The sequence below is a fragment of the Homo sapiens genome, chromosome 2, assembly GCF_000001405.40.
Source record: "Homo sapiens chromosome 2, GRCh38.p14 Primary Assembly".
Taxonomy (NCBI): domain Eukaryota; kingdom Metazoa; phylum Chordata; class Mammalia; order Primates; family Hominidae; genus Homo; species Homo sapiens.
The window spans coordinates 26,086,992-26,099,762 of record NC_000002.12 but is presented as its reverse complement, the minus strand read 5'-3'; the positions used below and the strand labels follow the sequence as shown (position 1 = coordinate 26,099,762).

Below are 12,771 nucleotides of genomic sequence, written 5' to 3'. Positions count from 1 at the left end.
AGACCATCCTGGCTAATACAGTGAAATCCCGTCTCTACTAAAAATACAAAAGAAATTAGCCAGGTGTGGTGGCGGGCACCTATAGTCCCAGCTACTTGGGAGGCTGAGGCAGGAGAATGCCGTGAACCTGGGAGGTAGAGCTTGCAGTGAGCCGAAATAGCGCCACTGCTCTCCAGCATGGGCGACAGAGCGAGACTCCACCTCAAAAAAAAAAAAAAAAAAAAAAAAAACCCAAAAAAACAAAAAACAGAAATACAGTGACAGAAAGCACAGTGGCTGCCTGGGGACCAGGGGTAGCAGGGAAGAAGGGATTACAAAAGATCACAAAGAGGCTTGAGGAAACTTTTGAGGTGACAAATATGTTCACTATCTTGACTGGTGATTGTTTTACAGGTTTATACGTATGTCAAAACTTAACAAATTTTACACTTTATGTGCACTTATTCTATATCAGTTAGATTATACCTCAATAAAGCTGTTTTCTCAAAAGGAGTAACAGATTTCACAGGGTCCTTTTTAGTAATTAATGGGTTAATATACATAATACACATTTGCTGGAAAATATTGCCATTATAATTCTAAATTCTATGATTCAGACAAATACAAATTCAAAGGTTTGTACTTCTTCAGGCAAACCTAACACAAACTAATAAAAATAATGCCCATAAAAAGTTAAAAACATATTAAAGAAAACAAACATTTTCGCAATGCATTTCACTAAAAACTTTGCATATATTATTTCATGTAATCCTTGTAACAATCCATTGAGACGGGTGTTACTATCTCCCTTTACATATGAAGATAAAAAGCCTAATAATGAGTATATAATCTGCCTCAGTTCACACGGTAAGTAGAAAAGATTATTAGATCTCATGGACTTAAGTCCATGCAATGGTTTTTACTGCACAAAAAGGTCACCTGACTGCCTGCTTTAAAAACAAAAGTCTCACAGAATCTAAACCTGTGACAAAAAAGAATTTCACTGTGAAACCTTAAGGAACCTGACATTCTGCTACATAAAGTAAATTAGCATCACTTACCATATCTGTAGCTTGATCTTCTTTCCTTGTAATTCAACTGTTTTGATCTTGAAGTCTATTCCTACAATGCAGAAAAAAAGGTAAACTGTAACTGTGGCTTTACATTTGGCTATACTAAAATTAATCACAGTAAAAACGCTCACACCTTTTAAACTTGTCTGTGTTTGTTTGATTCCAGATATTCACCAAGTATGCAACACTGAGCAAATGTATCCAATTTTAAACCTGAGTAATACAAGATCCAGGATAGGAGGAAAAATAGATACAGAAAAGACCAAGTTTTGGGCTGGGCATGGTGGCTCACGCCTCTAATCCCAGCACTTTTGAGAGGCTGAGGTGGGCAGATGGTGTAAGCCCAGGCGTTCGAGACCAGCCTGGGCACATGGTGAAACCCTGTTTCTACTAAAAATACAAAAATACTAAAAACACAAAAAATTAGCCAGGCATAGTGGCACACAACTGTAGTCCCAGCTGCTCAGGAGGCTGAGGTGGAAGAATCCCTTGAACCCAAGAGGCAGAGGTTGCAGTGAGCCTTTAATTGTGCCACTGCACTTGAGCCTGGGCAACAGAACAAGACCATGTCTCAAAAAAAAAAAAAAAAAAAAAAAAAAAAGAAAGAAAGAAAGAAAGAAAAAGAAGAAAGAGTGAGTTTTTACAAATTAGGATATAAGAAAGTAAAATTTAAAATATCTAATATTCTAACACATACGAATAAAAAGGTTCCTAGTGGGGGAAAAATATTGCCTTCACTAAGCTGCAGAACAAAGGAAAACTACCAAGGATAGAGGGTCATTTCATAATGATAAAGCAGTCTATTCTTCAGGAAGGGATAAAAATACAAATGTTTAGCATGAAGCAAAAATTAATAGAACTGCGAAGAGAAATACATAAACCTACAATTATAGTTGGAGACTTCAACATCCTTTCCCTCAAAACCAGATTTCTTTAAGTAGACAGAAAAATCAATAATGATACAGAAGACTTAAACCACACTATATTAACCAATTTGACATAACTGACATATACAGAAATCTCCATCTAACAGCAACAGAATACATACCATTTTCAAGTGCAGACTGAGTATGTATCAAGAGAAAACATAAGGGTCGTAAAAGAAGTTTCAACACATTTAACAGTATTGAAGTTGCCAGGCACGGTGGCTCACGCCTGTAATCCCAGCACTTTGGGAGGCCAAGGCAGGCGGATCACCTGAGGTCAGGAGTTCGAGACCAGTCTGGCTAATGTGGTGAAACCCCGTCTCTACTAAAAACACAAAAATACCATGCCCAGGTGTGGTAGGGCATGCTTGCAATCCCAGCTACTTGGGAGGCTGACGCAGAAGAATCACTTGAACCCGGGAGGTGGAGGATGCAGTGAGCTGAGATCGCGCCACTGCACTCCAGCCTGGGCGACAGAGTGAGACTCCGTCTCAAAAACAAACAAAGAAAAGAGTATTGAGGTCATACAAAGTATGTTTTCATTTTCTGGTTTTTTGTTTGTTTGTTTTGAGACAAGGTCTTGCTCTGTCACCCAGGCTAGAGTGCAGTGGCATGATCTCAGCTCACTGTAACCTCCACTTCCCGGCTTAAGTGATCCTCTTACCTCAGCCTTCCAAGTAACTAAGACCACAGGCACGAGCCACCATGTCTAGCTAAGTTTTGTATCTTTTTGTAGGACGGGGTCTTGCCACGTTGCCCAGGCTGGTCTCGAACGCTCAAAGTGACCCACCGGCCTTGGCCTCCCAAGGTGCTAGGATTACAGGCGTGAGCCACCGCACCCAGCCCAAAGTATGTTTTCTGTCTGCAACAAAACTGAACTGGAAATCAATAACAGAAATACATCTGGGAAAACTCCCAAATATTTGGAAATTCATGGTCAAAAAAGAAATTATAGTGAAAATTAGAAAATTTCTGAAATGAATTAAAATGAGAATATCAAAATTTGTAGGATACAGCTAAAGCAATATTTCAGAGAGAAATTCATAGTATTATATTAGTATTCATAGTTCACATTAGGAAATAAAACTGTAACAAAATTCAAGCATTGTTTCAGAAGGGGTCAAATACCAAAAGAACAGGTTAAGTCAGTAATTCTTAAAGTATGTTCCAAAGATCAAAAAAGCCAAGTTTTCAAAAGTAGTTCCCTATAGGGCTTAACTTGACAGAGTAGAAAAGAAGTTACTAGAGAAAGAAAAAGGTACCTTCAAAACAAAGTCAATCCAGAAAAAGGCATAAGCCGCAAACTAAACATTACTAGAAGATCCATCCATCCATCCATCCATCCATCCATCCAGCCAGCCAGCCATCCATCCAGCCATCCATCCGCCCACCCACCCACTATGGCAAGCACACTACAAAAATACTCTAAAGTTCTGGCATACATCCTTACACTTTCTACATCAGAATTCTGAAGCTGCTCTGTGACTGTATCATGTTATGAATGACAGCAATAGTCCATTTGACTTGAAGGCAATAAATGGAGTAAAAAGACAGTAAAAAGCAAAGTGAAAGACAGGGCTAACATCTGTTTATAAAAGGAATATTAAGTAAATTTGCAGACAAATTTGAGTTATTCAATCCCAGCAATAGAGCAGTCCCAATAAACTGAAACTTATTTCACTACAAAACATCCAGAAATGTTTCATATATCAAGCACACTGGCAATAAATTTCTCCAAGAGAAATTGCTGTACACCAGAAATAAAGACGGAACTGAAAACCAGAGCAGATAAATAGGCGTTACTTGCACTTCGGCAGTGGCAGGGCTGTGAGAACAAAACCAAAGAGCTTGCTTTTTGTTCTGTTTTGTTTTTTGGAGACTGGCTGTCGCTCTGTCACCCAGGATGGAGTGCAGTGTCAGTCATGGCTCACTGCAGCCTCGACCTCCTGGGCTCAGGTGATCCTCCCACCTCAGCCTCCTGAGTAGCTGGGACTACAGGTATGTGCCACCCTGCCCAGCTAATTCTTGTATTATTTGTAGAAACGACGTCCCAATATGTTGCCCAGGCTGGTGCTCCAACTCCTGGGCTCAAGTGATCCTCTTGCCACAGACTCCCAAGATGTCAGGATTACGGGCGTGAGCCACTGCGTCCAACCTGAGCTTGCTTTTTTTTTTTTTGAGACGGAGTCTCGCTCTGTCGCCCAGGCTGGAGTGCAATTGCGCTATCTCAGTTCACTGTAAGCTCCGCCTCCCGGGTTCATGCCATTCTCCTGCCTCAGCCTCCTGACTAGCTGGGGCTACAGGCATCCGCCACCATGCCTGGCTAATTTTTTGTATTTTTAGTAGAGACGGGGTTTCACCGTGTTAGCCAGGATGGTCTCGATCTCCTGATCTCGTGATCCGCCCACCTTGGCCTCCTAAAGTGCTAGGATTATAGGCATGAGCCACCGCGCCCGGCCTGAGCTTGCATTTTTAACAGCCATACTGAGAACACGATGAAAGGTCTAGGTCTGGAGGCTTTAAGTAATTGGAACCAATAAATTCTTTGCCTGAAACCCAGAAAGGACTACAATCTTAGTGAGAGTTGCCTAGGGAAAAAAACAAAACACAACTATTCACTGGCAAAGGGCGATCATAAGGAAGTTTCTGATACCAGGCCTCATGGTTCAGATTTGACAATCCGAATACATAAAAAATGATCCTTGGCTATTAACAGCAAACGTAAAAACTGTCTGAAGGTACAAATCCTTTCTTCAGACCCTACAGGATTCCCACAAATAAAACTCTATTTAATACTAGCTCATTAAATTAAGAAACATTAAACGCCACATAAAACTTACCCATTTTGAGTAAGTTAACAAAGACAACCGAACCCCCAAATTTTCAAATGCAATAATTACTTAACATGATTAAAATTACTAAGTGGGGCCGGGCACAGTGGCTCACGCCCGTTATCCCAGCACCTTGGGTGGCTGAGGCGGGGGTATCACTTTAAGTCAAGAGTTCAAGACTAGCCTGGCCAATGTGGTGAAACTCCGTCTCTACTAAAAATACAAAAATTAGCCAGGCATGGTGGCACGTGCCTGTAATCCCAGCTACTCGGGAGGCTGAGGCACGAGAATTGCTTGAACCCGGGAGGCGCAGGCTGCAGTGAGCCAAGATCGCACCACTGCACTCCAGCCTGGGCAACAGTGCAAAGCTATGTCTCAAAAAAATACATAATAAATAAATACGGCCAGGTGCGGTGGCTCACGCCTGTAATCCCAGCACGTTCAGAGGCTGAGGCGGCAGGGTCACCTGAGGTCAGGAGTTTGAGACCAGCCTAGCCAACATGGTGAAACCCCATCTCTACTAAAAATATAAAAATTAGCCGGGTGTGGTGGTGGGCGCCTGTAATCCCAGCTACTTGGGAGGCTGAGATAGGGGAATTGCTTGAACCCGGGAGGTGGAGGTTGCAGTGAGTCAAGACCGTGCCACTGCACTCCAGCCTGGGTGACAAGAATGAAACTCTGTCTCAAAAACATAAAATGAAGTGAAAAAATGAGATGAAATGAAATGGATGAAATAAGGGGGCTTTTTTTTTAAGTAAGGAAAAAGGCTGGGTGTGGTGGCTCATGCCTATAATCCTAGCACTTTGGCAGGCCAAGGTAAGAGGACTGCTTGAGTCCAGGAGTTTAAGACCAGCCTGAGCAACAAGGCAAAACCTCATCTCTACAAAAAAATTAGCCAGGCATGGTGGTGCACACCTGTAGTCCCAGCTACTTGGGAGGCTGTGGTGGGAGGATCACCTGAGTCCAGGAGGTTGAAGCTGCAGTGAGCTGTGATCATGCCACTGCACTCCAGCCTGAGCAACACAGTTAACACCCCACTCCTCAAAATAAATAAAAAACATGAGAAAAACAAAAACAAGGTAGTAAATTTTTCATAAAGCTTGACTTTAAAAGATGTCCTTTTATTGAGATTACAGCCAGGGTAAGTTTTTGAAAATGACAAGTTGATTTGTTTTCTCTATGCTTTCAGGATAAAATTGTGAAAATGCCTCTTAGTATCAAAGTCTTCAGTCTACATGACATCCCTGATCATCATGTTTTCTCATGTCTCTCGTTTAGCATATGCTACTTCGTAAATCCTCTCCTCATCCCAGTTTTCTTTTCCTGGTAAACTTCATTTATCTTTCGAGATTCAGTTTTGCTCCTGTGGAACAAACACAAAAGAGGTATCTATGCAAGCCTCAACTGATAGTGAACATTTAATTAAGCAATCTAAATACATAAACAGACCTAAAGGTAAATCGAACTTCAGAAGAAAATATGTGCTGCAATCTTAAATATATATTATGAGATAATTAAAACCTGTTATGTGTTTCTAAAGAATATTGGTTTGATCCATATTGCTGACATTGTCTTTCCATGGCAGATGGATGATAGTATACACCAATAATTAAAACTTCAAATAAAGACTTCATACATTTTTCCAGGGAAAAAATTATTTTTGGTCCAAATATTCTGGGGATCCACGGAAGAAAAAAGAAAACAAAGTCCTTGCCCATAAACTTCTGCAAAGAGGTCCTGGGGTAGGGAAATGCTCACCATATAAAAGGAAGAAACAATATCATTCAGTGAGTTTCCTGCCCATACCTTAGCTCTACTCTGCATCTCATTTTTCATAACTAACCTCTCACCAAGAAATGGTTTAACACCAACCTTCAACAAAACCTGTTATCCCTAGAATCTACAATAATGCCCCTATCCCTTCAAACTCTTGGGTTTACCTTATTGCTCCCCTCTTAATTTGAGCCAGTCTGCTTTTTAATCAGTCAAAATCTTTCAGCTTGCCCCATTATGTTTCTCATACACAATCAAAAGAAAAAAGGGTCATTTACCCACCATTTAACCTAACCCTACTTCTACAGTCCATATTGTTTTTCTTTAAGAATTTCTCAGAAAATCATCCTAAAATGACCCGGCTGTCTAGACTAACCCTGAACATGACCAACAACTTCAGCTAGGTATACAATTTATTAATTAATCTTAATGACAAGTGTGACAACTGATACTATTTCAGGAAACTTGCCTGAAGAAAGATGAAATAAGGATACAATCTGAAAGCGCTAAACCCCCTGGCATGGAAACTAGGCATCACTGGAAAATGTCTAAGAATTTGGGCTGTTTTCAGGTACCTACTTAATCTAACTGGTCAAGACAGAAGCCTCATTTTGGACTCCTTGAGTTTCCCTCACATTTCTTCTAGTCAATAATCACAACTACTAGGTTCTATTACTAAACCTTTTAAATTTGGAGGTTAAGGATCCTTCCTCACTAAGTTTCCTCTCTATTTCACTTTTTGTTTTTACCAAACTTCTTCGAAGTTACCTATATGTGCTGTCTCTAGTTTTCTCTCCTCTCACCTCTTGAATCCTTTCCAAACAGGCTTTGTTGTTGTTGTTATTATTAACCACCCCAACACACACACACACACACACACACACACACACACACACACACACACACACACACACACACAGCTCTCACTATGATCAATGATCTCCATGTTCCCAAATCCAATGATCATTCCTAAGTCCTCATCTGATCTTTTTTCTTTTTTTTTTTTTCTGAGACACAGTCTCACTCTTTCATCCAGGCTGGAGTGGAGTGGCACTATCTCAGCTCACTGCAACCTCTGCCTTCCAAGTTCAAGCAATTCTCCTGCCTCAGCCTCCTGAGAAGCTGGGACTACAGGCACGCACCACCACACATGGCTAACTTCTGTATTTTTAGTAAAGTCAGGGTTTCACCATGTTGGCCAGGCTGGTCTCGAACTCCTGACCTCAGGCGATCCACTCACCTTGGCCTCCCAAAGTTCTGGGATTACAGGCATGAGCCACCATGCCTGGTCCTCATCTGATCTTACTAGCTGTAGATGAAGGAATTCTTCACTCTTTTTTGCATGAAAACTCCTGACTCTCCTACCTTTCTAGCCACTCATCAATCTTCATTGCTGGTTTCTCCTCATCTCTCTGACCCCTAAAAACTGAAGTGGACTTCTCTTTTCTATCTTGACGCATTCCCTAGTTTCATGGCTTTAAATTCCACATACACACTGATGATCTCTCACCTCAACTCTCCCCTGAACTCCAAATCCAAGATACCCAACTGCTTATTAGTTATCTCCATATCCCATCTCTTACAAAGACTAAAAGGAAAACTCTTTAAATCCATAAATAAGGCCCTACATATTCTCCCACCTACCCCTCTCTACCCTGCCCTCAACATTTTCTACATCATCTCACTCTGATCTAGCTAATTGTATTGACTTCCTTTTTGTTGCTCTATGCACAAGACAGCCAGGTTCGCCTCTCACTACCTTTCCATAAAGGTACTATTCCCCTAACCTCTGACTACCTTTCTCATCCATCATGGCTCTTTCCCCTAGCTACCCTAAGTTGCAATATTTCTCTATGTTTCCCACCCATTGTCTATTAACACTTCTAACCTTCTTCCTGACTTTTAAACTTTAACGTGTCCTTATTTCTGTTATTATTCATCTCTCATTGCCAAAATGTGAGACTGAAAAGGGTAGAGATTTTTATCTGTTTAATTGAGTTAAATTCCCCATACCTAGAACAATACCTGACATTTAGCAGGCAATCCAAGAAATATCTGTCAAATAAACAGATAAATGATGTTTTCTGGAGAAATTAAAGAGTCCCTGAGAAACATGTTTTGCCCTTAATTTGAAACATCACTTGACAAGCCCCACCCTTTTCTACTCTGCTTTCCATCAGCTTTTTAGCGCCTCAGGCCAAAGGTTCCAATGAGATATCAGAATTTTTTTTTTTTTTTTTGGGGGGGGAGACAGGGTCTCGCTCTTTTGCCCAAGCTTGAATGCGGTGGCATGATCTCAGCTCACTGCAACCTCCACCTCTCAGGTTCAAGCCTTTCTTCTGCTGCAGTGCCCAGAGCGGCTGGGACTATAGGCCTGTGCCACCACACCCAGTTAACTTTTGTAATTTTAGTAGAGAGGGGGTTTCACTATGTTGGGGAGGCTGGTCTTGAACTCCTGGCCTTATGTGATCCGCCCTCCTTGGTCTCCCAAAGTGCTGGGATTACAAACATGAGCCACTGCATCCGGCCAGATATCAAAACAATTAAGGGAAAAAAAAAAGTTAACAGAGGCAGTGTGAGACATAATAAATTAGAAAAGCAAACCAAGAGGTCTGACATCTAACAGAAGTTTGAAAAAGAACAGAGAAAGTGACATATAGAAAATAATAAAAAAAAAAGGCAAGAAAACAGAACTAAAAGAATCTACTTCTAAACTGAAAAACCCACCAAGAACCTAGCATAATGAACAATAAGCATAAAACTTACACCAAAGTACATCACAATGAAATTTCAAAATACCAGAAATAGTTTATAAAAGTATGCGCAGAAACAAACTAAGCCACCTTAAAAGATCAACTCTCAACTTCTCAATAACACTAAAATCCAGAAGACAAAATGACAGTATCTTTTAAAAATACTTTCAACCTATATCCAGCCAAAACCAAATGAAAGGCATTCCCAGACATGGAAGATCTCAAAATATTTAGCTCCCATGCATCCTTTCTAAGATAGCACTAAGAAATTGCTTTACCAAACCAACAAAGAGGAAGAAATGAAATCCATTCAACAGTGTGAAGTAAAGGGTAGACAAAATTGCCTAGAGAGCAACCAGTTCAGAACAGAAAAGTTCCAGGGGGGATTTTTCCTGGGAGTGGGAAGGAGGAAACAGTATTAGAATTTATATGAAAAACAAAAGGATCTGACAATTCTACATGAGATAAAGAAGAGACAGTGCCTTGAAATCTAGGCAAATGTAACAACGAACTGTAAACTACAATAAAAACAAAAAAACAAAAAGTTGTCCGAAAAAGAAAATGCAATTATAGTACACTACTTGGCTTAGCAGTTAACCAAAATATTTATTACTAATTGAAATGATTAAGAAAGAGGTGCCAGGAATATCTGGTGGTGTAAGAGTATTAAATTCTCATCTTCCATAACAAGAAGAGTGTTTCTAAGACTAGGTTTTTTTAAAGTTTAGAAACATATGACTAGAGAATATGGAGTTGAATAACAGAAGAAAAAGCCTAAAAATGTTTGGGAAAGGTAAGGCACAGGTGCATACAGGGCAAGAATTTGTTGTTGCAGTTGCTGCTTCACTGTCACAGCCCTGAAGTAATAAGACTTCTAAAAATCTGTACCTATTAATAGAAATAAAAATGAGGCTAACAGAGAAGGAGGTATGTTTACAAATGCATTCTCTCCACTGCTTAACCACTTCAATTCAATCCATCACTCTCTCTTTTTTTTTTTTTTTTGAGACAGAGTCTCACTCTATCGCCCAGGCTGGAGTGCAGCAGCGCAATCTCTGCTCACTCCAACCTCCACCTCCTGGGTTCAAGCAATTCTCCTGCCTCAGCCTCCTGAGTAGCTGGGATTACAGGCACCCACCATCATGCCCGGCTAATTTTTGTTTCTAGTAAAGACAGGGTTTCACCATTTTGGCCAGGCTGGTCTTGAACTCCTGACCTCAAGTGATCCACCCACCTTGGCCTCCCAAAATGCTAGGATTACAGGCATGAGCCATCGTGCCCGGCCTCAATCATCACTCTCTATGAATAAATATATTTCTGAGCATGGCCCCAAGCCACCTCTCCAGTCTTATTCCCTCCAGTTTTTCTCCTGTAGTCACATTCAAACACAACTTTCATAGCGCTAAACTTTTTTCAAGTAAATATCATGGTTTCATTAGTGTGTACTTTCCACCCTCCCCCACCCTATATACCCACATGCAAACACCTAAGAAAAACTGAAGATAAGCCGGGCATGGTGGCTCATGCCTGTAATCCCAGCACTTTGGGAGGCCCAGGTGGGCGGATCACGAGGTCAGGAGTTCGAGACCAGTCTTGCCAACACGGTGAAACCCTGTGTCTACTAAAAATACAAAAATTGGCTGGGTATGGTGGCGGGCGCCTGTAATCCCAGCCACTCAGGAGGCTGAGACAGGATAATCACTTGAGAATCACTTGAACCGGGGAGGGGGAGGTTGCAGTGAGACGAGATCGCACCACTGCACTCCAGCCTGGGCGACAGAGCAAGATTCGCAAGACTCCAACTTGGTGGGGGGACAAGTTAAACTAAAGATGAACAGGGTGGAAAAGCTTATAAAATTGAGAGATGAGAGGAAAGTCAATAGCTCAGCTAATAAGAGATGCTAGAAAAGCCTACCACCCTCTGAAATTCTGTCAGAAGAAATAATCAGACTCTCCTGCAACATTACCATTTGCTAAATTAGCACAGAAATCACAGGGTTTGATCCAAACAGTGATTCCTTTTTTGGTTTTGCTTATGTAAAAACACACTAAAGGAAATTCTCACTTTTTACAGATTCCTAGGGCCCAGCTCAAGAGTATTTCAATTTTTAGCTGCTCAAGAGAAAAACAGTATCAGCCACCATATCTGCCTTAATGATGTTGCAGAAGCACCATCCAGTGGCAAGAGGAGTAACTGCAACCTCTAGCCACTCTATCAGTTTTCCAGAGCTTGGCTTCTGATGACTTATCAATACACAGTAATTAATGCAGGCAGAACCAACCAACCAAATAACCAAACCATCATTTATAGTTAAATGATCCATTTCTGGGGTTTTTAACAAGTGAAAATCAAGTGTTTTCCACCTACCTGGAAAGGAAATAATCATACACCTGTATCGTTTGAATGCCGCTTAGGCATTGGATTTCAAGACCAGGTTCTAGTCTTAGCTTTGTTACTAACAGTATACATTTTGAAAAGGTCATTTTCCAATATGGGTATTTGTTTCTTTATCTGTATGCAGATGTGAAAATGTAGAATGTGAAAGTTTCCTCTAAAGATCCTTTTGTGTAATAATAGTAACAGCGTAGTTAACATTTTACAATGTGCCTGGCACTGTTAGAAGATCTTTGCATGGATTAACTCATTAAAACCTCAGGATAATCCTAGTTCATAGTATTATTTCCTTTCTGCAAATGAGGAATAAAATAAAAAGTAACAGCAGAAAGGCTGGGCGTGGTGGCTCACACCTGTAATCCCAGCATTTTGGGAGACCAACGTGGGCAGATCACCTGAGGTCAGGAGTTTGAGACCAACCTGGTCAACTGGTGAAACCCCGTCTCTACTAAAAATACAAAAATTAGCTGGGCATGGTGGCAGGCGCCTGTAATCCCAGCTACCAGGGAGGCTGAGGCAGGAGAATCACTTGAACCCAGAAGGCAGAGGTTGCGGTGAGCCGAGATTGCGCCATTGCACTCCAGCCTGGGCAACGAGAGCGAAAATTCGTCATAATAATAGTAACACCAACAACAGCAGCAGCAGCAGCAATAACAGCAGTAATACTAATGTTTACTAGGTAATTACTAAGAGTGCTAAGCATTTCACATATACTGTCTCACTATTCATAAAAATCCTGAGAGTACCAATATGCCTATTTTATAAAACAGGGAGTTCAAGGTAATTTACTTAAAGTTGCAGGATTAACAGATGGCAGAACCAGTATTCAGTACCATGTCTGATTCATACCATGCATGCTTTTAACCTACACTAAGTTCTGTTCATTTTTATTTTTTGAGGTAAAATTCACAGTAAACTGACCACTTTAAAGCGAACAAAAAAAAAGAAAAAATAAAGTGAACAATTCATAATGTTGTGTAACCTCCACCTCTAAATAGTTGCAACATGTTTTCATCACCTCAAAACGACCCCATATCCATT

General features: G+C 40.8%; 1 protein-coding gene and 1 long non-coding RNA gene across 3 annotated transcripts in view, besides 2 other annotated features; both read right to left on the bottom strand.

Moving 5' to 3' along the window:
* RAB10 (RAB10, member RAS oncogene family) overlaps positions 1-12,771 on the bottom strand; it is a 104,170-nt gene that overhangs the window by 37,692 nt on the left and 53,707 nt on the right. For both annotated transcript variants that reach the window (XM_047443004.1, NM_016131.5), the window contains exon 2: positions 1,041-1,101. In XM_047443004.1, the coding sequence (XP_047298960.1) occupies positions 1,041-1,101 (61 nt within the window). The remainder of the gene's footprint in view (positions 1-1,040; positions 1,102-12,771) is intronic.
* Positions 4,624-5,123: an enhancer, noted in NCBI's record as "H3K4me1 hESC enhancer chr2:26317509-26318008 (GRCh37/hg19 assembly coordinates)". NCBI's record gives its function as "activates a minimal SCP1, AML or CMV promoter by ChIP-STARR-seq in primed H9 embryonic stem cells {active_cell/tissue: H9 hESC(primed)}" and the evidence as "EXISTENCE:reporter gene assay evidence [ECO:0000049][PMID:30033119]".
* Positions 5,124-5,625: an enhancer, noted in NCBI's record as "H3K4me1 hESC enhancer chr2:26317007-26317508 (GRCh37/hg19 assembly coordinates)". NCBI's record gives its function as "activates a minimal SCP1, AML or CMV promoter by ChIP-STARR-seq in primed H9 embryonic stem cells {active_cell/tissue: H9 hESC(primed)}" and the evidence as "EXISTENCE:reporter gene assay evidence [ECO:0000049][PMID:30033119]".
* Positions 5,910-12,771, bottom strand: part of LOC105374333 (uncharacterized) — a 33,343-nt gene continuing 26,481 nt past the window's right edge. Inside the window, exon 2 of the long non-coding RNA XR_939851.3 lies at positions 5,910-6,172. This is a non-coding gene — a long non-coding RNA (uncharacterized LOC105374333). The remainder of the gene's footprint in view (positions 6,173-12,771) is intronic.